The sequence below is a fragment of the Homo sapiens genome, chromosome 11, assembly GCF_000001405.40.
Source record: "Homo sapiens chromosome 11, GRCh38.p14 Primary Assembly".
NCBI lineage: Eukaryota > Metazoa > Chordata > Mammalia > Primates > Hominidae > Homo > Homo sapiens.
Window position 1 is genome coordinate 28,226,202 of NC_000011.10, and position 26,671 is coordinate 28,252,872.

The window sequence follows — 26,671 nt, forward strand, 5'->3', positions numbered from 1 at the left end:
AGTGGAACATTCTTAACCTTTTTCCTAACTCACTCCACTGCCTTGAATCAGGGTTCAGATTTACATTTGGTAAGAAGGGGTAGGTTTTCTGTATTCTGCCATATCCTTGGGGACTATTTTTAGTGATTTATACAATTTGAACTTCCATTGTTTTGTTTGTTTTCAGAAAAGATTAAACAAACAAATTATATTACTGTGGAGCAAAAAGAGGGAAGCCAGCTAACATAGTAATATAATTAGAGAGTTACAAAAATATTTTTTCATATGATATAATATATTCTGAACTACCCACATGATCTAAGTTGTGTAGACTTATTTTCTAGCACTTGAAGTTTATCATTTTCCTTCTCTTTATTTTAAGCTGCCATTTTTAATTTTTGGCCAAATTTACACAGGAAGCCAGAGCAATGGCAAGTCTCGAACTCATAGCGTCAGGTTTGCTGCTTGTATTCCTTCTACACCACTACAATATTATTCAAGAAGCAATTTAGTCACATTGTTGAACAGAGTCAAGACTGAAACCCAAGCATTTTGACCCTAAGGCCAGTGTAAAAATCTTATAAAAGAATACATGCTCTTAAACAGCCCTATCTACCTAAAATTTAGACTTTTAGGATTAGATATGAGACACAGTTGTTACTAATCTTACTAACCATGGGAGGTCAGTTCTGTCATACACTGTCAAAGTGAAAGAATTGTCACAAATATAAACAAGCATGAAAAAAGACAACTTGGAAAAATTATCTAAACCATTTTGAACTATTGATGATGATCTGTTACCTGTTCATTGTTTTTGGTAACAAAAACATTACGAAAATAGGATATTGTATTTTGCCCCATTTAATATTATTAAATATAACCTTCGCTCAGGAGATGTTAGCCTTGTAAGCTGAAGCTGTTTTTTTGAGGAGGTAAAACTTGACTCTAGTCTACCAAACATAGTTCCGAGGCTTGAGGAATATATGTTTATTCCATAAACATGTATTATACCAACTACTTTTCAGGCAATCTACTAGTTTTGACGGTTCCAGAGGGATTAAGACCTATAGTCTGTGACTTCATAGAGTTTACAATGTAAGCAGAAATTAGACAGAAAACAGATAATTTTACAACTAATTATTTAATTAAAATTGTGATCATGGCTATGAATGAGTAGCGTATGATCTCAGGAATATGATATCAGGATCTAATCTAGTTTAGAACATCTAGGAAGACTTCCAGAGTATTTGAATTCAATTTAGAACATGAAAGATCAATGATAGTTAGCTGGGTGAAGGAGGGAGGGCTATTCTGGCAAGAGAGAGAATTGAAGTGTTGAAAAGAGAATATTCGAAGATCTTTGGCAGAAATGAGAATGGCATATTGAAAGAACTGTAATGTGAATGGATGATAGAAAGGGAGAGGAATGACAGAGTGGTAAGTTAGGGCTAGGCTATACAGGAACTTGTTAGGGATTTTGGACTTCACCTTAAGAACAAAGGGAAAGCACCAAAGTTTTTGAAACAGGGAACTGACATGATCATATTTGCACTTTTAAAAGAATAGTCTTCTTGTTTCTGTGAAGAATGAGTAGGAGGAGGGCAAAATTGGAAAGGATTCAGTGAGATCAATTAGAAGGCTAGGAATTGCTGCTGTATCTGAAAGCTGAGGATAGTTGGGCCTAGATTTTTGTTTCCTGATCATTCTATTAGAAATTCTACTTTGCTTTAATGATCTCTGGCTTCCCGTTTTAATGATATTCTAAATAATTAAAACAATTTATTCCAAGATAAAAGTATGTTTTGTGTTTATAGGTGAAACTGAAGTTAATATTGTGACACTAAATTTTGTAAGACCCTCAAGAATTCCCATTCTTCTGACTTAGCCAGTATAAGGAAGGAGACAAGGAATAAGTTCAGTCTTACCGTGTTCTCAAGTCCAGCAGTATATTTTTATTCTCACAGAAGACTTTCGGTAATTACCTTTTTCTCAGAATCTCCTCCCTTGTGTGTAATCAGTAAGGCTTTTTCATGTCTACCTCAAGGCTTATCTGCTTTAGTATCTGACTGCTCTTTTCCTTCTTTTCCATATAACTCTGGAACCAGACTGCTGAGCTTTTTCTTTTAACTTCAGCTCTGCTATTTACTCACTATAAAACTTTGAATAGGTTACTTAACCACTCTGCTACTCAGTTTTCTCATCTTTAAAAATGGAAATAATAACATTACATACTTCCTAGAAATGATAGGATTAGGCTTAGAACACTGTCTAGCATATCTTTTTAATGAGTCATGAAATCATTTTGTTGGGTCCTGATCAGAGTTTAATGGAATGGAATAAGAATATCATAGTACAGCATATGAAGTTAAATTAAGTATTGTTTCTAATGAAAGAATTTTATGTATACATATATACATATACATATATATGTATTGTAAGTTTCTGTGTATATGTGACTGCAGTTAAACCTTATTGTTGATGAAGTGTCTTGATCAAAATTTTTTGAAAACCACCATGCTATTTGACTACATTCCACATATATTGTTCATGTTGTATATTAAATATTCATTGAAGACAAAAACTATGTCTAACATGTCATATCCCTGCTTGGATATGTTATTTTTAAATTTTTAATTTTTTGCCAAAAACTTTGCAGACTTACAAGGTATCTGAAACTTCTTTATTTCTAGCTGGTTCCTCCCTCTTTGAACTCATCTGGATCTGGCTTATTTCAAATGTCCATCCCCACAGGTGAGAAAGTAGTTTAGATTTTAGAATCAAACAGTCTTGATTTAGAGTCTTAGTTCTGCCTCTTTCTAGCTATGAGATTTTTAGGTCAATGACTTAATCTTTCTATGTCTGTATTTTTATACCTTTAAAATGAGGTACTGTTAATACCTACCTCATGGGATGTTATGAATATTAAATAAGTTTATGCAATTTGTTTATCATAACATTGTTTAATAAATGTTAGTTATAATTGCTTTTAGAATTATCATGTAAGATAATACATAGTTATATTAATTATTATTGTCATTATGCTAAGATTTTGGAAACTTTCATTGGCATACACCAAGATGATGATTGGCAGTTATTTCCTGTCTTTACCTGCTTGGTTCCTTAATATGCACAGATAGAACTGTTTAAGATTTGAGGCCTGGGACACTGCATTCAACTTCCCTCACCTTGCAAAGTGCTCTGGCATCTGCCTTTTGTTATAGACTTTCTCCCCTTGTCAGTGTAAATACTGAAGGCTATACCTGTGCAATGCTCTGAATATTGGTGTCTCCCCTAAATTCCTGTGTTGAAACCTAATAGTATTAAGAAATGAGACCTTTGGGGAAGTGATTAAGTTATGAGTGTTCTACCCTCACAAATGGAATTAATGCTCTTATAAAAGATTGCAGGGAGTTGCTTTGTCCTTCTGCCATGTGAGGACACAGCAAGAGGCTCCCTTTTAAGCAGAGAACATGCCTTCACCAGACACTGAATCTGCTGGCATTTTGATCTTGGACTTCCCAGCCTCTAGAACTATGAGAAATAAATTTCCGTTTCAATAAATTACCCAGTCTAAGATGTTTTGTTGTAGCACCCTAAATGGACTGAGACAGCGTGTCACAATTACAGACACTGCTGCACTGAGCTGTATTAGTGTCTTCTTTTAACCCCAGACTTACTTTTTATTGATTGTGATTTTTCCATCACTTCTTGGCTTTAGATAAAAATAACTAATATCATACAAATGTCATCAACAAATCAGAAGTTCTTTCTTATCTGTCTTCTATTCTTTGACCCTCTCCTTCTATATTCATATGCTGCTGGCTTTCTGGAAGCTACTTTTTTCTCAGTAAAGAAGGTACAAGGTTTAATTTTTAGCCATTTCTTGTTCTGAAGCCTGAAAATTCTGCAAGGCTAAAATCTTGAGTCACCTTCATTACCTTTACATTTACATTCATTGTTGATTATTTATTTAGCTCATTACTGACATGAGGAGACAGAATCTGTGTTTATTTTAAATAAACTCTTTTTTTCTCTTTTGACAAATACAAATATAAGTATAGACCTATATATTATAATTAACACCTCTGCATCCATTCCTAAGTACTATTATATATTTATTCTTAGAATATTTGGCTTAAAAGTTTCAAAACTGATTCATGAAAGTCAACGTGTATATTTGAAATGCAAATGATATTTATATTATGATAACTGAGAAAATGAATTACCTCTTCACAAACTTGAGATAATCCATTTTTATTGCCTACGTCATTTGAACATATCCATATGGTACAGGATAAGAATAGCAGCTTGTTCAGTACAAGAATGACTATACCTAGAAAGACTTCATTTTATCTTGGGTAAATAATACATATTTAGAGACATATTTTATTACATATGAGAAAATTTTAGTAGAACCCTTCATGTTTGGGCTTCTGAGTTATTAAAAGAGTGAAAACAATAGTTGTATTTTCTCTAAATCGTCAACTAATTAAGTCAAATGAGTTTGCTATAATTACATGTATAATCCTCCTGTTCTCGACACCCCCCATTTTTGCCTGATATTTAAAGTAAAACTGAGACAAACAGCTGCTGGATTGGATTATCTACTTTAGTATTTTATTCCTTTTTTCCTGAGAGAATGCAATCTAAATTTAATGCACAATTCAATGTACATTTTAGTGCCTGCTGTGTATGGGGAAATAGACTTGGCATGGGGAATGCTCAGAAGCTCAAGATAAGGCCTCTGTACCACAAGATAAAGCTCATTGTCTAATAGATAGACAAGTAAACCTCTATGAGATCAGGTAAGTAAATCTCCTGGCAGGGAAAATACCAAACATATTCTAAATTCAAACTTAAATTATTTGAGGAATATACATTCTTATTTTCTCTGTTAGCATTGTTACTCATTTAATTCAATTCCAGACACTGTTTTGGGGCAGATATTAAATCATATTCTGGTATTACAGCTGGATAAAAAGGTCAACATAATGCCTTCTTACTTTATCAGGAAAGACAGATAATTAAGAAGTATTTATTTAAGATAAGTGTCAGGACCCAAAAACATTAAATACCAAGGCAGTATGCTTTAAATAGCATGGAATAACTATGTTATTTAAATAAAATACCATTACAACAAATAATTACAAGAAGGAAGAGTACTCATTACATAGGACACATTATGGACCTTTCATAGGACAAATAAAATAATAAGATATCGCTGATTAAGATATCATTGATCAAGTTAAGTTAGCTATTTAAGGAATACTTCTATAAAACAGGCTTTTTTTCTTATGGTAAAATTCTTACAGTTTTCAATGGTACACCATTACTTTCATAATAAAGTTAAACTTTTCTGCTTACCACAGGAGGCCATTGAGGATATGGCCTTTCTTTTCTCTAGATTCATCTCTTACAATTTTACAACAGTTTTTTCATACCCTCCTTGAAATCTAAACTACTTTCACATTAGCTCACAATGTTGTGTCATACCTCTCTTCATGTCTATGTGCTGTTTATTTACGTAGCGTTATTCATCCCACTTATGTTTCAAGACTTAGCACTATTTTCTCTGCAAAATCATCCAGATACTTCCAATTTGATTTAAATTTTTCTCTTCTGTTCCTCAGCACACCTTGTGCTACCTTTATCCAAGCTTTTCATCATTCTCTTGGTTTACTTCCATATATTATATGCTCCTTGAAGTATTGCTGTATCTTAACAGACTTTATACTTTTCAAACCCTGGCATATAGTACATACTCAATATCATATGGATGGATGGCTAGATGAATAAATGAATGGATGATGATTTTTTCATTTTCTATATCAAATGTATAAAATAGAAATTAGATATAATGGGCTGAGTTCATCTTAATTTGCATTTTACAATGTAAATAGAACCTTTAAAAATATCCAGACTACTCTTTAAAATATGTTATAAGTCTAGATCTAAGTTCTAGAGAGAATTGTGGAGTAAACTGCAGATTCACTTCCTCAGTAAATATTTATGTAAAAATGTTAAGTGATAAACCCTGATTAGATATACCATATCCTATCTTCCAGTGGGCTCAAAATCCTTATTACTAGCTTTTACTATGGAGAAAATAGTTTTCACTACTATTTCCACTTGCAGTCCTGTGCCAAGGGAATCTATATGGGAATTATATATATTATCACTAGAAAAAGATGCTTAGATACTCTATATTATAAATAAACTTTATTTTTGAATAATGCTAGTCTGTGTTCACTGAATCTAAAAAATTCATGTTTGGCATGCGAACTCCTATGCATAAAAATTTTTTCTTTGAAAGAAAAAGTATACTATATAATAGTAAGTTATTAAATAATAATTAAAGATATTATAATTCATGCAATAATTTAAAAAGTACTTTTTATATGAACACGTTTATTTATTTTGTGTCTTCTAGCATTTTTCATATCAGCAAGTATATTAAAAGGAACATATTGTGTGCAATGTGTAGGCCCAGCATAGGATTCTCTATACTAAAATTTTGCAATGATACTGGTTAATTGCTAGATTTCAGGCACCTTTCTAACCTCCGTTTTAGTGGGCGTGAAAGGGTTTATTTGTAAGAGATATTGCTGCTGACAGAATTTTATCTTTTTCTCCTGGAATCTCAACAGCTACTCCCATGTTATAGGCATCCCCAGAAAGCTCGTCAAAGGATTTCCACCCACACTCTGAATATCTAACAGGGCTTGACCCATTTTTTTTCTCTTATTAATATAGCAGCATACACATCATGAAGAAAGATAGAATAAGGACTAGTCTAAGCTTGGAATTTCAAAAAGTTATCTACCTGTATGCAAGGAATTGAAGCGGACAACAAAATTAGCCTTTATTTTTTTTAAATTATGCCCTTAACAATCTTATCACATTAAGGAATCACATCTAATTTCATGAATATAGTTTTATTTTGAGTGGCTTAAAATGTACATTTGTATTCTTAAATGCAGTGACTATAAATGCCAAAAATAGAGTGCACTATAAATCAAGAATTCTCCTTTGTACTCAATTGTTAGGACATAATATACTGCTTAATAACATAGATAATAATTAAAAGAAGACTAAAGCTTTGTGTAGTAATCCTAGTAGAATCCTTTGGAAGTAATCAGGATAGTTATAAGACAGAATATGAAAATACATGTTTAAAGTAATTTTCTTGTATAAATGATTACATTTTTTTGTTTATGTAAACCATTAGCTTTTTTTGTTTTCCTTATGTAACATCTAAATACTCATATATAGACTGTGGCTAATTTTTTTTTTAACTTAAAGGATAAAAGTCCCTCTGGAATACAACACTGCATTCAGTTTTCCCTCTTAACTCTCTATTGTTGGGCAAGTTACTCCAAGCCTCAGTCACCTCATCTTCCTTATGGTGAGTGAGGTATAAGTGATAAAATAATAATTATTGAAATAAATGCTAATTATTGTTACCATAACAGTTGTTTCTCCTGCTTTTATTAATTTGGAGTCAGTCACTCAGCTAACATCCAAGTATAAATACATGAGTGGTGAGGAATACTTCTCCTTTGTAGTTATGCCATCAGTTGTCTATATTCACTGTTTTGAATTCCTCTGACTCCATTCTTTCTTTTTTTTTATTATTATTATACTTTAAGTTTTAGGGTACATGTGCACAATGTGCAGGTTAGTTACATATGTATACATGTGCCATGCTGGTGTGCTGCACCCATTAACTCGTCATTTAGCATTAGGTATATCTCCTAATGCTATCCCTCCCCCCTCCCCCTACCCCACAACAGTCCCCAGAGTGTGATGTTCCCCTTACTGTGTCCATGTGTTCTCATTGTTCAGTTCCCACCTATGAGTGAGAATATATGGTGTTTGGTTTTTTGTCCTTGCGATAGTTTACTGAGAATGATAATTTCCAATTTCATGCATGTCCCTACAAAGGACATGAACTCATCATTTTTAATGGCAGCGTAGTATTCCATGGTGTATATGTGCCACATTTTCTTAATCCACTCTATCATTGTTGGACATTTGGGTTGGTTCCAGGTCTTTGCTATTGTGAATAGTGCTGCAATAAACATACATGTGCATGTGTCTTTATAGCAGCATGATTTATAGTCCTTTGGGTATATACCCAGTAATGGGATGGCTGGCTCAAATGGTATTTCTAGTTCTAGATCCCTGAGGAATCGCCACACTGACTTCCAAAATGGTTGAACTAGTTTACAGTCCCACCAACAGTGTAAAAGTGTTCCTATTTCTCCACATCCTCTCCAGCACCTGTTGTTTCCTGACTTTTTAATGATTGCCATTCTAACTGGTGTGAGATGGTATCTCATTGTGGTTTTGATTTGCATTTTTCTGATGGCCAGTGATGATGAGCATTTTTTCATGTGTCTTTTGGCTGCATAAATGTCTTCTTTTGAGAAGTGTCTGTTCATGTCCTTCACCCACTTTTTGATGGGGTTGTTTGTTTTTTTCTTGTAAATTTGTTTGAGTTCATTGTAGATTCTGGATATTAGCCCTTTGTCAGATGAGTAGGTTGCAAAAATTTTCTCCCATTTTGTAGGTTGCCTGTTCACTCTGATGGTAGTTTCTTTTGCTGTGCAGAAGCTCTTTAGTTTAATTAGATCCCATTTGTCAATTTTGGCTTTTGTTGCCATTGCTTTTGGTGTTTTAGACATGAAGTCCTTGCCCATGCCTATGTCCTGAATGGTAATGCCTAGGTTTTCTTCTAGGGTTTTTATGGTTTTAGGTCTAACGTTTAAATCTTTAATCCATCTTGAATTAATTTTTGTATAAGATGTAAGGAAGGGATCCAGTTTCAGCTTTCTACATGTGGCTAGCCAGTTTTCCCAGCACCATTTATTAAATAGGGACTCCTTTCTCCATTTCTTGTTTTTGTCAGGTTTGTCAAATATCAGATAGTTGTAGATATGAGGCGTTATTTCTGAGGGGTCTGTTCTGTTCCATTGATCTATATCTCTGTTTTGGTACCAGTACCATGCTGTTTTGGTTACTGTAGCCTTGTAGTATAGTTTGAAGTCAGGTAGCGTGATGCCTCCAGCTTTGTTCTTGTGGCTTAGGATTGACTTGGCGATGCGGGCTCTTTTTTGATTCCATATGCACTTTAAAGTAGTTTTTTCCAATTCTGTGAAGAAAGTCATTGGTAGCTTGATGGGGATGGCATTGAATCTATAAATTACCTTGGGCAGTATGGCCATTTTCACGATATTGATTCTTCCTACCCATGAGCATGGAATGCTCTTCCATTTGTTTGTATCCTCTTTTATTTCCTTGAGCAGTGGTTTGTAGTTCCCCTTGAAGAGGTCCTTCACGTCCCTTGTAAGTTGGATTCCTAAGTATTTTATTCTCTTTGAAGCAATTGTGATTGGGAGTTCACTCATGATTTGGCTCTCTGTTTGTCTGTTATTAGTGTGTAAGAATGCTTGTGATTTTTGTACATTGATTTTGTATCCTGAGACTTTGCTGAAGTTGCTTATCAGCTTAAGGAGATTTTGGGCTGAGACAATGGGGTTTTCTAGATATACAATCATGTCATCTGCAAACAGGGACAATTTGACTTCCTGTTTTCCCAATTGAATACCCTTTATTTCCTTCTCCTGCCTCATTGCCCTGGCCAGAACTTCCCACACTATGTTGAATAGGAGTGGTGAGAGAGGGCATCCGTGTCTTGTGCCAGTTTTCAAAGGGAATGCTTCCAGTTTTTGCCCATTCAGTATGATATTGGCTGTGGGTTTGTCATAGATAGCTCTTATTATTTTGAGATACGTCCCATCAATACCTAATTTATTGAGAGTTTTTAGCATGAAGGGTTGTTGAATTTTGTCAAAGGCCTTTTCTGCATGTATTGAGATAATCATGTGGTTTTTGTCTTTGGTTCTGTGTATATGCTGGATTACATTTATTGATTTGCGTATATTGAACCAGCCTTGCATCCCAGGGATGAAGCCCACTTGATCATGGTGGATAAGCTTTTTGATGTGCTGCTGTATTCGGTTTGCCAGTATTTTATTGAGGATTTTTGCATCAATGTTCATCAAGGATATTGGTCTAAAATTCTCTTTTTTGGTTGTGTCTCTGCCTGGCTTTGGTGTCAGGATGATGCTGGCCTCATAAAATGAGTTAGGGAGGATTCCCTCTTTTTCTATTGATTGGAATAGTTTCAGAAGGAATGGTACCAGTTCCTCCTTGTACCTCTGGTAGAATTCGGCTATGAATCCATCTGGTCCTGGACTCTTTTTGGTTGGTAAGCTATTGTTTATTGCCACAATTTCAGATTCTGTTATTGGTCTATTCAGAGATTCAACTTCTTCCTGGTTTAGTCTTGGGAGAGTGTATGTGTCGAGGAATTTGCCAGTCTCTGTCTCATAATTGGAGCATTTAGTCCATTTACATTTAAAGTTAATATTGTTATGTGTGAATTTGATCCTGCCATTATGATGTTAGCTGGTTATTTTGCTCATTAGTTGATGCAGTTTCTTCCTAATCTCGATGTTCTTTACATTTTGGCATGATTTTGTAGTGGCTGGTACCAGTTGTGCCTTTCCATGTTTAGTGCTTCCTTCAGGAGCTCTTTTAGGGCAGGCCTGGTGTTGACAAAATCTCTCAGCATTTGCTTGTCTGTATAGTATTTTATTTCTCCTTCAATTATGAAGCTTCGTTTGGCTGGATATGAAATTCTGGGTTGAAAATTCTTTTCTTTAAGAATGTTGAATATTGGCCCCCACTCTATTCTAGCTTGTAGAGTTTCTGCTGAGAGATCAGCTGTTAGTCTGATGGGTTTCCCTTTGTGGGTAACCCGATCTTTCTCTGTGGCTGCCCTTATAATTTTTTCCTTCATTTCAACTTTGGTGAATCTGATAATTATGTGTCTTGGAGTTGCTCTTCTCGAGGAGTATCTTTGTGGCATTCTCTGTATTTCCTGAATCTGAATGTTGGCCTGCCTTGCTAGTTTGGGGAAGTTCTCCTGGATAATATCCTGCAGAGTGTTTTCCAACTTGGTTCCATTCTCCCCATCACTTTCAGGTACACCAATCAGATGCAGATTTGGTCTTTTCACATAGTCCCATATTTCTTGGAGGCTTTGTTTGTTTCTTTTTATTCTTTTTTCTCTAAACTTCCCTTCTCGCTTCATTTCATTCATTTCATCTTCCATCACTGATACCCTTTCTTCCAATTGATCGCATTGGCTCTTGAGGCTTCTGCATTCTTCACGTAGTTCTCGAGCCTTGGCTTTCAGCTCCATCAGCTCCTTTAAGCACTTCTCTGTATTGGTTATTCTAGTTATACATTCGTCTAAATTTTTTTCAACGTTTTCAGCTCCTTTGCCTTTGGTTTGAATTTCCTCTTGTAGCTCGGAATAGTTTGATCGTCTGAAGCCTTCTTCTCTCAACTCGTCAAAGTCATTCTCCGTCCAGCTTTGTTCCGTTGCTGGTGAGGAACTGCGTTCCTTTGGAGGAGGAGAGGCGCTCTGTTTTTTAGAGTTTCCACTTTTTCTGCTCTGTTTTTTCCCCATCTTTGGTGGTTTTATCTACTTTTGGTCTTTGATGATGGTGATGTACAGATGGGTTTTTGGTGTGGATGTCCTTTCTGTTTGTTAGTTTCCCTTCTAACAGACAGGACCCTCAGCTGCAGGTCTGTTGGAGTTTGCTAGAGGTCCACTCCAGACCCTGTTTGCCTGGGTATCAGCAGCGGTGGCTGCAGAACCGCGGATTTTCGTGATCCGCAAATGCTGCTGTCTGATCATTCCTCTGGAAGTTTTTTCTCAGAGGAGTACCCGGCCGTATGAGGTGTCAGTCTGCCCCTGCTGGAGGGTGCCTCCCAGTTAGGCTGCTCGGGGGTCAGGGGTCAGGGACCCACTTGAGGAGGCAGTCTGCCCGTTCTCAAATCTCTAGCTGTGTGCTGGGAGAACCACTGCTCTCTTCAAAGCTGTCAGACAGGGACATTTAAATCTGCAGAGGTTACTGCTGTCTTTTTGTTTGTCTGTGCCCTGCCCCCAGAGGTGGAGCCTACAGAGGCAGGCAGGCCTCCTTGAGCTGTGGTGGGCTCCACCCAGTGCGAGCTTCCCGGCTGCTTTGTTTACCTAAGGGAGCCTGGGCAATGGTGGGCGCCCCTCCCCCAGCCTGGCTGCCGCCTTGCAGTTTGATCTCAGACTGCCGTGCTAGCAATCAGCGAGACTCCGTGGGCTTAGGACCCTCTGAGCCAGGTGTGGGTTATAATCTCCTGGTGCGCCGTTTCCTAAGCCCGTCGGAAAAGCGCAGTATTCGGGTGGGAATGCCCCGATTTTCCAGGTGCCATCTGTCACCCCTTTCCTTGACCAGGAAAGGGAACTCCCTGACCCCTTGCACTTCCCGAGTGAGGCAGTGCCTCGCCCTGCTTTGGCTGGCACAGGGTGCGCTGCACCCACTGTCCTGCGCCCACTGTCTGGCACTCCCTAGTGAGATGAACCCGGTACCTCAGATGGAAATGCAGAAATCACCCGTCTCCTGCGTCGCTCACGCTGGGAGCTATAGACCGGAGCTGTTCCTATTTGGGCATCTTGGCTCCTCCATTCTTTCTTAGACTCCCCCAGATAAAGCTTTCAACTGCCCCACCCCACGGCTCTACCAAAACTCCTTTTGTCAAAGACTCCAGTGATATCCACAATGCCAAATTCAGTGGTTAGTTCTGATTTTTCTTAGATAAACACATAAGCCATCAGCATCGTGTGTCATAGTTGACTATTTCCTATTCCTTCAAATGATTTTATTTGGATTTTTTTTTTCCTATCTGTACTGTTCCTTGTCAAACTCTTCATGTGTGCCTTCTTTTGCCCTAATATTTGTTCTTCTTCAGGGCTCATTCTACAGGCCTCTTTTCTATTTACACTCATTCCCTCAATAATCTTGCCTTGTTTCAGAGCTGTAAAAACTATCTACACATTGATGACTCCAGATTTTTATCTTCAGCCTTATCCCATCCAACTGCTTAGCTGGCATTTCCACTTAGCTGGCTAATAGAAATCTCAGATCTAACATGTTTAAACAAAACTTTTGATCTTCTCCTTAAAACATGCTTTGCCCTGATTCCAGCCCATCTGTTAAGGGCAATTCTATTTTTCTATTTGCTCAGGCAAAATAAAATTCTTTTAATAATAAAAAAGCATACTAATCCTTTTGATATGGCAGTACAATTCTGTTGGAAATCCCATTAACTCTACCTTCAAGGTGTATATGAAATTTGACCCCTACTTATCACCTTAGCATTACCACCCTGGTCCAGGCCACCATCATCTCCTAATTGGAGTTTTGTGTTTTGACTTGTCTTCCAGCTTCTGCCATTAAAATCCTTCTATAGTGTATTATCAGCCCCAGGACAAGTTATCCTTCTTAAAAGCAAATTAGATCATGTTTTTCCTCTGCTATGTTGACCCCTGTTTTTTTACTCTGTTCTTGCCCCACCAGCTTCCCAGCTACCTTGCTGTTCTTTAAGTACACCTAGCATGTTTGCACCTCCAAGCCATTTCCTCTTCCCAGATGTTCTGTGGCACATTCCTTCATTTCTTTCAAGTCTCTGCTCAAATGTCTTCTGTCAGACTTTTCTATATAAAGTATCAAATTTACAAGTCAACTGTAGTATTTTATAATTCCTTACCCTTGCTTTATATTTTGTTATACAACATCACCCTTTGACATAGTACATATTTATTTTAAATAATAATTACTAGTTTATTGTCTGTTTACCCCAACTAGAATATAACTACCATGACAGTAGGAGTATTTTTCCCTTACTGTTATAGATCTAATACCTATAACAGTTGCTGGCCATAATAGGGTATCAATAAATATTTGCTGAAAGAGTAAAGGGATCAATCAAGCAACAAACATAGCAAGTAAAATAGAATAGATGCCCATGATCTATTGCACTATAAATGATGCAGTTGCAAATATTCTTTAAATAAAGCTGCCCTGTAATACTTGACTTTTCATGAGCTACTTCAGTTTCATTAAAACTAAGTAAATATATATAACACATTCATTCGTTCATTCAGCTGTTAAGTATCATGTAAAGATCAGCTATACTTTGTTCGTAAATATTTGTTAAACGAGAAGAATGTGCTTTAAGTAACAAAGTTATATAATCTAGAAAGATTTCTGAATAATCAAGGATTTTAACATAGGTATCTTTTAAATGGATTAGACTATGAAACTATAGTTGTAAAAATAACAATAGCTAACAAAATTTCATCAAAACTTAAACTCTAATGTGTATTCGCATTCATTTATTTCATTTGATCATCACATTGACTGTGTAGAATATTAGGATTAAATGTACGATTAAGATTTCTATACCAGTTTTTGAGGTGTAGTAACAGAGATCCAGTCATATAGCAAATAGCTTGTTCTACTAGGATTAAAATCTTAAATATATGCGTAAGAGCTTAGTGCTTGTTCCTTTAAAATATGCCTAATCTTTTAAATGATTGATCTGCATTGATGTATTGGCAATCTTTTAATTTGTCCTAGGTTTCCCAAAATTTAACTTGAATCGGTCTTAACCAATTTCTTATCAGATGTTAAGAAAATTTAAAAAGAAGGGAAACATAGATGATAGAGGAAAAGCATAGGGGATAGCCAAGTTTTTTTAATAAAGATTAAAAAATTGAATAATGGATAACCCTTTTAATCTTTTAGTTGTCTGATGTGTTTCAAACTTTTTTTAAAAAGCCAAGTGACTTATTTAAGAAGATTTGATTGTCAGAAAATAAAAGCTGTACTTTTAAAGAGCTTATATGTTTCTGAAAATAATGATATACTCAGTATTTTCTTGAAGTACTGTTTTATTCTAGGAAAAAGGTCATTTGCTCATTTATTTAGCATATATTTATTGAACACCTACAATGTGCCAGGTACTTTTCTCAGTGCTTGGGATAAATCAGTGAATAAATCAAAGAACACTGCCACCATGGGAGTTAACTTCTAGCAAGGCAGATCCTATAATAAGCAGAATAGGTAAGTTTTCTAGTATGTTAACAAAGTGATACTTATGATGAAAAACAACCAGAGGGCCAGGTGCAGTGGCTCATGACTGTAATCTCAGCACTTTGGGAGGCTGAGGCAGGCGGATCGCAAGGTCAGGAGATCAAGACCATCCTGGCTAATAAGGTGAAGCCCCATCTCTACTAAAAATACAAAAAAATTAGCTGGGCATGGTGGCGGGCGCCTGTAGCCCCAGCTACTCGGGAGGCTGAGGCAGGAGAATGGCGTGAACCCGGGAGGCGGAGCTTGCAGTGAGCAGAGATTGTGCCACTGCACTCCAGCCTGGGCGACAGAGGGAGACCCCGTCTCAAAAAAAGAAAAAAAAAAAAAAGAAAACCAGAGAAAAGCAAAGGGGATTGGGAACATGGGGATTGTAGATAAAGCTTTTTACAGTTTTCCAAAGGATAAATAGGGTCTCAAGAATAAGACATATTGAGAAAGACTTGGAAGAGGTACGGAGTTAGAATGGAATGAATCTGAGAAGATAGCATTCAGGCAAAGGAAAAGCCAGAGCAAGGTAAAGGCCTGAAAGTTATACCACATGTGCCTGGTTTCAAGGAAAAGCAAAGATGCCCATATGGGGAGCACATAAGGAGCAAGAAGAGTAGTAAGAAAAAGAGATGATGTCAGAAGGCTAATGGGTGTGCTCAGATGACAGATCATGCAAGAGCTTTTTAGACCATTGAATGAACATTGGCTTTTATTCTAAGTGAAATGGGAAATCATTGCAGAGTTTTCAGTGAGTGACATTGTCTGACATGTTTTAAAAGCATTATTCTGACTGCTATGTTGAGTACACTCTCAAGGAGCCTAGGGCAAAAGCAGGGAAGCTAGAAACAGGGATCCATTAAAATATAAATAAAAGTCTCTGTTTAAGATTAGAATATTGACTAAAATTTTGAGAATGTCAGAATCAGGTATTTGGTATTTGTATAGAAGAAGTATACATATGTTTGCATCTTATTAGCATATACTTATTTGTCAATCATTATTAAGTATTCATTCATGTTAAAATTCTTCTGTTACTATATTTAGGTTTATTGGTTTCCTCTCATGCTCCATCTCTACTCTGGAATATGAGCTCAAAGACAGAAATGATGTCTTATTTTCCACTGTATTCTCAGTGCTCAAAGTTTGTTTCTTGAATTAAATTTAAAAAGCCCAAATGCATGGTTAGTATGCAAAAATTATTGAGCATGAACTAAAGGGCAAATTCTAAATAGTAAAATTCAGTCAATGATAATTTAGAGAACATCATTCCTAGAATATAAAAATGCTCATTTTTCTAAAAGTAAGAAAATGATTGTATCCAATTATAAAGTCATATGGTAGTTTCCTTTATTCTGAGTTTATTATATTATTGCTTTTCACTTTCATCAGTGTCTTTCCTTTGTTTTATGGACACAACTCTTGTTTTTCCTTACTTGGGTTTCTATATCTATTTTAATTTTAAATGATAACAACAGTTTGAAGCATTAGGAAAGATGACCTTAAAGCCGATCTGACTAGTGATTTTCAAAGCATTCTCCATGAACCCTGGTGGAATGTTTTTCTGGTTGTACTAAGAGGAAAGGGTGTGCTAAGTGGTCAGATAACTAAATCTCTCAGATCTAGCCAGCCTTCTTCAAGAGTTGGTTAGTGGCAGAGACCAAATTTTTTACATTGTCTTCTAGACATTATATCGCTTTAATAATTTTGATGATATAAGTGTCCGTCATTGAGCGAGTGTTCTTTTGAAAGGTGCTAATAGAGATTAAACTTTCTAGCCAGAACTGACCCTATGTATTTTTATAATCTCCTTAATAATGAGAGACCTTATTGAGGGAAAAATATAATTCTGCCTGATGATTGGAGTGTAAAAAAAAAAAAACAGTGTGGAAGTAAAAATAGTATGTTTAAAAACTGGCATTCTAGAGGGACTTTTAGATGATTTTAAAGATAAATGCCAAAGAGGAGCTTAAAATAATATGGAAACTTGTTGCCGTCATTGATGTAAGTTTAACAGTCTCCCAGCAGCACTATTCCAAGCAGAGTATGAAGTCAGCTGTGGAAATATTGGTAAAATTAGAATTAGTCTTGTGACTTCTTTTGGCCGTACCTTTTTCCTTAGCAATAGAAGTTCATGCAGTGTAATATTTGGTGAAATTAAAGTAGTCAAATGGATAGAATACTAAAACAAACAAACAAAAAACTATGTTTTTACTTCCCTGGATTTCTTGTGGCTGAAGGCCCTTTTATCTTCCTACCTGATTTAATAAAAATAGTATGTATCATAACTATAGGCATTTCAGCTACTTTTTTGAGAGGAAAACTGTTCTGTTTTATTTTTCTTTCTTTGCCAATGTTGCGGCATTCAAATACCTAAGCAAGATGTTAGTGTTAAAGTTTATTTCAAATTAAGAGTAGCATTCCAGGATCTCCAAGTACATTATGATAGCACTGTATAAAGTATATGACAAATCATCAATTTTACTGATCGTTGAAAACTCATCTTAACTATGCAAATCCTAAAATAATTCAGTACATATGTTTGAGGGAACATTGTTTCCTCATGAGTCTTCCCCCGGAGAATGTCATATTGAAAGAAAAAAATAAGAACTTTTCAATAAATCTTTGTTTTAGTTATCTTTGGCCACATAACTACTACAAAACACTGGCATAAAACAACCATTTTGTTATATTAGTGATTTTGTGGGTCAGAAATTTGGGCAGGACACAATGAGGGATATTTCATTTTTGCTCTATAATGACTGATGCCTTAGCTGATTGGGTCAATTGGCTAGAATTGCTGGGACAGCTAGCTCAAAACAGATGTTTTTTAAAGTTCAAAAATAGGCAACCTAATAATATTATTTGAAGATTTATTCATAGATTGTTTAAAAACAAAAACAAAAAACCAAGAACATACAACTAAAAAGCAAGGGAATTATTTGTGCAGAATTCTAGATCTTGGTTTCATCTTGATGTTAGGCAAGGAAATCAGATTGCAGAAGGTAAGGTCATTTTCTTTTTCTTTGCCTGGTAAGTGTATGCAAGAGTATCCATTTAATTGTTATTCTTTAATCTCAAAAGAAACATTTATTGTAATTTTTTGTCCTGACTTTTAAAAATTCTGCTTGAATTTTAACATGATATTATGTAGATAAGAGTTAATTTAACATTCATTTTGTATATTCTGTGGTATTTAAGTAGTTCCAATTTCAGCTACATAAGATTGGGTTTTTTTGTTTGTTTGCTTGTTTTCTTTTTTAATTTGTGTTTGTTGCCCCCAGTCTCTCAGGTCAATATAAATTCCTAGGCTGTAACTCCTGATTTTCCAGTTCAGTTTGTTTTTGGTATGGCTCAGGAATCTGCATTTTAAAAACTCCTACAGGTTATTCTGACATATGTCCAGGTTTGAGAACTACTGTATCTATTATCCAAACCTTATACTTGTTAGGAAAAGTATTAGCAAGTGTCAGGAATATTCTGGGACAAAGGTATACACTTTTAATGAGAGGATTATATGCAGTGATTGAATAGTTGAGAAGCCAAACAGGGAGGCACAGTCAGAAGCCACTACATTTCTGGGCTGGGGGTACTAGAGCTCAAGGACCTGGGTCACCTGGCTGGGGCCGAAGCTATGGAAAAGAAACTGAGAGGAATTAGTAGAGATATCCTGTCTTTTCTCTTTTTCCTTTCTTCTGATATTTTGGTAATATCTTCTATTGGCTGACCTTGATAAAAATCTTTGTGCAGCCTGCAAGGTTTAATCCCCGGAAATACAAAGCAGAGCAGGAAAAGGATAGATCTGAAGATAGGCAGGTCTAGGACCTGAACTGATGTTCAGCTAGACAGGCAATGTCTTAATTCTTAATTGATTTGCTTCTCATACTTTGGGCTGTATCCGTTGGGAATCAAAAATGCAAAATGTTAAAAATTACAGACAATGGAGCTGTACAACTTGTATTCAAAATCCAGCTCTACCCTTACTCACTGTGTGACTCTGGGATAATTACTTAATCTCCATGCTTGTGTCCTCATTTGTAAAATGATGAGAATAATTATCTGCCTCGTCACTTAAAAACTGTGCACCAGGAAGACTAAGCAAATTCCTGTGGCCATAAAAGGATATTTGAAATTTTCAAGAGAAACAGTGATACCCAAAACCTGCTGTACACAGCCAAACTACTATTTCAAGGTGGTTAGTGGTTTCAGCATTAGATCATGTATTATTTCCTTCAGTGGTGTCATATCTTTACAAAGCTTGATTTTTTTAGTGATCATGAAAAAAAAAGTATCACATGAAAATCAACGTAGAACAGTAAATAAGATGATAGTATTCAACCTGATTTTCAAAATTGGAAAAGTTGTGCAGTGTCTAACAGGCATATATATACCTTTGGTAAGTATATTGGTCCATTCTCACATTGCTATTAATATAACAAATACCTGAGACTTGGTAATTTATGAAGAAAAGAGGTTTCATTGACTATCAGTTCCATAGGCTGTATAGGTAGCATGGCTGGGGATGCCTCAGGAAACTTACAGTCATGGCGAAAGGTGAAGGGGAAGCAAGCGTGTCTTCACGTGGCTGGCAGGAAGAGGAGAGAGTGAAGAGGGAAGTGCTACACAGTTTCAGACAACAAAATCTCATGAGAACTCACTATCATGAGAACAGTAAGGGGGAAATCCATACCCCTGATCCAATCACCTCCCACTAGACCACTCCCCTTACACATGGGAATTACAATTTGACATGAGATTTGGGTGGGGACATAGAGCCAAACCAAATCAGTAAGTAAGTATGATTATTTGAGAATAAAATAAAAATATTATTTCTGGCGAGGCGGCGATGAAAAGAGGTTGATTAATGGATACAAATATACAACTATATAGAAGAAATAAAGCAATGTTTGGAGCAATATTGTGACTATAGTTAATAGTAATATATTGTACATTTCAAAATAGCTAGAAGAAAATAATTTGAATGTTCCTAGCATAAAGAAAATATATTTAAGGAAATTGATAATTACCCTAATTTCATCTTATGCATTATATGAATGTATTAAAATATCATATGTGTTTGAAAATATGTGTATTATGTGTCAATAAAAAATTATTTATCCTTTTATTTAGTATGTATTTCAAGTGACTGCTCAAAATTGTTAAGACATATGTACTTATTAGGCCCTAACTACATAATAAATGGAACTCTTAGATATTTATTTTGGCTTGGGGGTCATGTGAAAATATTACTGAGACATTAGGAGTGCAGTAAGCGAGCAACTTTTGTACATCATAACATTGTCAGGAGAATTAACTGAGCTAATAAATGTTAAATAATTAGAAAAGTGCCTAGCAGGTAATAAGTGCTATGTAAGTGTTACCTATTATGGGCCAAAGTAAATGATCAATAGAATTGCAGTTCTAGCTACTATATTGCTATTACCATGACAACAAGGGAAAACTGTCCTGGGGCTTTTATGGGATTGGTATGGGATACCAAACAGTACTTCATGCTCACATCTCCTACTAAGGTATATTAGTGATACACATGGGTAATGTCTGTGAGCAAGGGTTACCATATTTGAGAACTGCACTGTCCAATATAGTAGCCACTAGCCACATGTGGCAGCTAGTTAATCACTTGACATGTGGCTCATATGACTGAGGAACTAAATTCTAAATTTTAATTTAAATATAAAAACAATACTTGATTTAGTTATTGGAAAACTTTTAAGCATTTTTGAACAACTTTAGCATATAAATTGCCTCTTTCACTGTGTATTTTATGAACTATAAATGCTATACTTAGTATTTCTAAATACTGTATTAGTATGATGTGTACTAGAATACTGTATTTCTATATGCTATATACTAACTAGAATATTATAATATTTCTAAATACCGTATCAAGTATTTCTGATGAAATGTTGGTGTTTGAATTGAGATGTGCTGTGAATGCACACTGATTTCAAATACTTAGTATAAATAAAGAATGTAAACAAATTTGCATGTATAAATATGTCCATCGTGGTATATCTGAATATAAAAATTATTAATGAGACATAAATTTGTTGATTTCTATAATTTTTCAGGGGGCAAAATTATTGAAAATTGAATAAATGAATTGAAAAGTTCTACATATTTGAAATTGTAGATATTGCCACAGTTAGACAATTTATAATAACAGTTTTAATTTTGTTTTGTGACTGATTTTCATAATTCCTTAGGACACAGATTTTGTTCATGAAAAGGAATCTTTCTGAAAAATGGAGGCATTTATGCCTTTCACTGGTTTATGAAATGAATTCATACTTTAATGTCATAAATGTCAGTCAATTTGCATCTTTTGTAATTTGACCCAAAAATGAAGCTTTATGTAAGTTCAAAACCTAAGAACACTTAAGATTGATCGGTAATTTAAACTGAGCTTCTTGTGGGGAATGAAAGTACCATTTACAAATACGGAACTAAAAACTCATTCTCTCGTTATTGGGTTGCTGATGTCTTTGTCCCATAATCAACTTTTAGTGGTACAGTAGATGGCTTACAGGCAAAATGAGTTAACAAGGCGTTACGAGATTTTTTGCATTATGTTTTATTTTCAAATCATTTACTAACAAGTCAACCAAGGGTTTAGGATCAACCATACAAATAATCAAAGGAAAGTTGTTGAGTAGCTTATTTTAACCAACAATTGCTGGTTAAAATAATCAAAATAGGGCAGCTATAATATTGATTTTAAAGTTTTTAAGTTGTCAAAATATGTCTTTGGGCTTTCAAATTCTTGGTAATTTGTATTTAGTTGAAGATAGCAATAAGAGTATTTGGGGGAATAAACACTATTTGGTTTATTCTATAAATCTTATCATCCACTGGTTTAAAAACCTTCAGTCACTTCTCATACTTTTCAGGATGAAATTCAAAATCCTTTGTAATCGGTTGAAAGCCATTAATGATATGGTCCCTGTCTTTCTTCTCTTTGCATAGTTGCCTCTTATGCAGTATTCCTGCCCCATGAACAATGAGACCTCCTCATATTTCCACTTAATACTGACCTCAGGGAGACAAGGAAGCTCCATCAGAATTTCCCCTACTTGCATTTCTGCCTGTATACTTCCTAGCAAGGAAAGTTGGGGTAATTTTTGGCTGACCTAATTGGTTTCCCATCTGTCTACGATCACCATTCTGCCTTGCTTGTCATCCAGTATCTGAAATCCCTTGTTCATAGATTTTGTCTGGGTTTTTAGTTGATTCAGGCCAGTGGATAACTCTGCCCTCTGTTTCTCCATTTTGCCTGAAGTGAAAGATCCACCTCCCTTTAATTTTATTCCATTGTATTAGCCTTGTAAGTAAAAATATAACATCCATGCACATTTTAAACCACTTATTCTAAACTATAATTTTTTTAGAGAATGTACATTTATCTTTATTTTGGCATTTTATGGGTAGATAACTAATATTAGAGAAAGTCCCTATTTACTTTGCTTCTTTTATATTCCACAAAATGAAAGTTATTTTTAATGGTGTTTTACAATTTATTTTAGTTAATCTTTACAATAAACTTTTGTGATAGGTATTTTTATTTATCCCATTTTATTATTAGAAAAAAAAAGCATCACTAAGGTTAAGTAACTTATCTTCCAACATGCCACTCTCCCACAAAACTCAATACCTCTAAGTTAATCTTGAACACAAATAATATTTTGATAATCTTTTTTTCAGACTGCTCTGTCTTCACCCTTTCTTTGTTATTTCTCTCTTTTACTTTCTTCATTTAAACTGTATTAAACTCACCATTCTGTGAAGCTATCTCCTACCAGAAAAGGGACCATCCTTTCCTAGAAATCTTATAATGCTTTATTATTTGACTAGATAAGTGAGACAATATGAGGTACTAGTCAAGAATTAAGCATGGACTCAGGATTTAGACTGACTCCCTCACAAGCTCACATGAGGAAACCTTAGGTAATTTTTTTTAATGTTTTCAAACTTGAGCTTTTGCATCTAAAAATGAGGATAACAGTGGTACCTATCTTCATAAGCATCTTCCGAGATTTGACAGAGATACTTATAAAGTACTTAGCTAAGAATTTTACATGTTACACATAGTACACATTCAACAAATTAGGATAATTAATATAAGATAATGAAGATGATTATTGCTACTTTTATTTCATTATGTACTTAGCTAAAAATTGAAATACCCTTATGTTTACTCCAGTGACTCAACCCGATACTATATTATAATATGTAAATATATTAATTGCTAAATTAGGTTTTAGTTTCTGTGATGGGAAGGTTTATGCTTCTTAAATATTGTATTTTCTTGTTGCCTTGTGTTTTAAAGGAAGGGTCAGTAAGTATTCATGAATGGATAAGTCGTGTCTTTACATCACTAAAGAGTTAATGCTTCTCAGTATGTATATCGTGTTATATAATTTAGTTCTGTCACCCTATTACACAGATAATGCTATTGTGTGATCTTGTACTAATTTGCTACTACACTAAGGAGATTTTTTTTTTTACTTTTAAGTTCAGAAATACACATGCAGGTTTGTTATATAGGTAAATTGCATGTCATGGAGGTTTGGCGTATAGATTATTTCATCCCCCAGGTAATAAGCACAATACCTGATAGGTAGTTTTTCTATCCACACCTTCCTCCTACCCTCCACCCTCAAGTAGGCTGCAGTGTCTGTTTTTCCCCTATGTCCATGTGTATTCAGTGTTTAGCTCCCACTTGAAAGTAAGAACATGTTGTATTTGGTTTTCTATCCCTGAGTTAGTTTGCTTAGGATAATGACCTCCAGCTCCATCCATGTTGCTGCAAAAGACACGATCTTATTCTTTTTTATGGCTGCATAGTATTCCTTGGTCTATATGTACTGCATTGTCTTTATTCAGTGTACTATTGATGGGCATTTAGGTTGATTCTATGTCTTTGCTATTGTGAATAGTGCTGTGATGAACATAGTGTACATGTATCTTTATGGTAGAATGATGTATTTTCCTTTGGGTATATACCCAATAATGAGATTGCTGTGTTGAATGATAATTCTGTTTTAAGTTCTTTAAGAAATCACCAAACTCCTTTCCACAATGGCTAAACTAATTTACATTACCACCAGCAGTGTATAAGCATTTCCTTTTCTCTCCAACCTTACTAGCATCTGCTATTTTTGGACTTTTAAAAAATGCCCTGGTTTGAGATGGTACCACATTATGGTTTTGATTTGCATTTCTCTAATATTTAGTGATGGTGAGCATTTTTTCATATGCCTTTGGCCACATGTATCTCTTCTTTTGAAAAATGTCTGTTCATGTAGATGTTTTAGAAGTTACTCTCCTTTTTTTAAAAAAAAAAATGATGTTTTTCCTACATCATTTGCTTCTTTCTCAGAAAAGTAGCACAGAGTAGCCTATGTAACAGTCCAGAGGCAGTGTGCATGGCTGATTCAGCAAAATTAATTATTGATTCAAAAGCCAAATCAACCTTCTCTTAGTTGGTTCTCTTTGTCCAGAAAATCATCTTCAATTCTGTTTTTTACCTGCCAGAAAAAGCATCTTCTCTCTTGTTATCAGTGACCTTTGACTTGTCAGTAACATTCAAAACTTTGCTATTTCTGCATCACTAATAAAATATATCAGGTCAACCACCTTGTCAATTTGAGCCCTTTTTTTCCCCTATTTTCCTTGCATTATTTGTGGCTGGGGGTGTAAGAGAAGAATTTCAGGGATTTCTGCAGATATTTTGGTGAAAGGATAATTCTTAAATCAACACTATCAGATCTGGATTTTTCTTCATCCTTTTAAACAAAGCTTTCCTTCAATCACCTTTGAAATATATCTTGTTTTTCTAAGGTTCTGTGACTTTCTAACCTCCCATTTGTTTCTCAGTAGAGCAGATCTCTGGTATTTCTATTAACTAGAGGAATATTTGAAGCAAATTTGAAGAGATGGCAAAATTACTCCCTTTTCATATTATTCTTCCACCCTACCAAATCTTATATTCTCAAGCAAAGGAATGAATGAGAATTATCCTTTTTTGGTCCTGCCTCCTTTTGCTAAACAAGAAACATGCTATTTTGACTAGAGTTTTGCTTCAAAGTTTACAAATAACCCTCTCAGCAGTAAATTTTGTAAGTAAGAAAGCTGCTAACTTTAGGTTGAACATTCCTTTTTACTAACTCCAAATTCCTAAACATTTCTATCCAGAAATTGTTACAGGCTAATTTTATATTTGGCTAGGTCATCAATTTTCTCATATAAATTAGTCGTTACTGCAGGGCTCTGAGATTTTCATGCCATCCGGAATGAATAAGACTTTTTTCATAATAACTCACAAAGCCCCATTTGTCACATATACTAGGTAGTATCAAGTGCTCCAGGAATCAACATTAGCATTATGTTGCTAGCCAATCTATTCAACACAGTAGTCTCTTGGTTCCTTGGCTTCCATAACTCTCTGAATTTTTCTTCCATTCTACCTTAGCCATCTACTCACATGATTATAATCTAGATCTCTAACATTTCACACTCTGGTCATCATTTCCTGTACCACTTGATCCCTTAAAAAAATAAGTGCACTATTCTTCAGCCCATGGGGACCTCCCACCTCTAGTCACTGCCCAATGACTATAATTGTTTTTCACTCCATCATGGTGAGACACTTTGTAAGTACCCTTAACTTCCTTCCTTTTTCTTCCTCTGCTATATTACTGGGCAAAACTGTCACATTTTGCTAAACCCACCTAACTCCATAATGTATATGTTCAACTGAACATTATTAGAGAAAACCCTGTAATTGTACTGGCTGGCCTAACTTCAAATTTGCTTCTACAAATTCATTTGCTCAACTGATATTTATTTGGCACCAACGATGTGCAAGGCATGCTCTCAATGTGAAGGTATATTAGTGAACAACAACAAAAATGTCTTTGCCCTCATAGGGGATATACTCAAGTGGGAGGCAGACAATGAATGAAATATAAAATGTATGTGAAGTTATCAACAAGTGCTAAGGAAAATATAAAGAAGGGAAAGGGAATAGGAAATGTTGGTGGGAGGAGTGGGGAGGAATTGCAATTTTAGCTAATAGGGAAGGCATCACAGATTTCAAAGAACATTTAGTACTGCCAGTAAATTGCCATTCCCGTTCTCTTAAACTTGACTTTCTTTAAATCTGTAACTCCCTTACCTTATTTTTATTTCTCAGCTACCTACCTAGTTCACAGATAAAAGAGATACAATGAAACATTAACTGTCTCACATTTTTGCCATTAGCTCCACCATCCTACCTGTATCTGTATGAGTTTATTATGTCTTCCCTTTAGTTGTAATGAAGTATCTCTTTTTTAAAGAAAATTTCTTCACTTAAGCACTGAATCCTATAGTCTTTTTCCTTTCTAGTGAACTTTGCTTCTAGAATTTTTCCCTGCCTGGGTTATCAGTCTCTCCCCGTCTATGGGAGCATCCTCATCAATAAACTAACATTTTTAATATCACAACTTCAAAAATGCTCTCAGGATCCCATATTCCTTTGCAGCTTGGCTTTACATTTTCTTCCACTTTATAAAAAAAACTCCTTAATAAAGTTGTCCACGTCCACTCCCTCCAGTTCTTCACTTTCTTTCCACTCCTGCAATCACTCCAATTGAGTT

The 26,671-nt window shown here is 35.3% G+C and overlaps 1 protein-coding gene across 11 annotated transcripts in view; it reads left to right on the top strand.

The window, feature by feature from the left end:
• The window catches only part of METTL15 (methyltransferase 15, mitochondrial 12S rRNA N4-cytidine), a 424,088-nt gene that overhangs the window by 117,814 nt on the left and 279,603 nt on the right, over window positions 1-26,671 (top strand). The window contains exons 2-3 of one of the 11 annotated variants that reach the window (XM_047426517.1): window positions 1,794-1,953; window positions 2,670-2,730. The exons of 9 other annotated variants lie outside the window; for them this stretch is intronic. The gene's annotated coding sequence lies outside the window, so the exon portion shown is untranslated. The remainder of the gene's footprint in view (window positions 1-1,793; window positions 1,954-2,669; window positions 2,731-26,671) is intronic. One more of the 11 variants, XM_047426518.1, reaches the window with a different exon arrangement.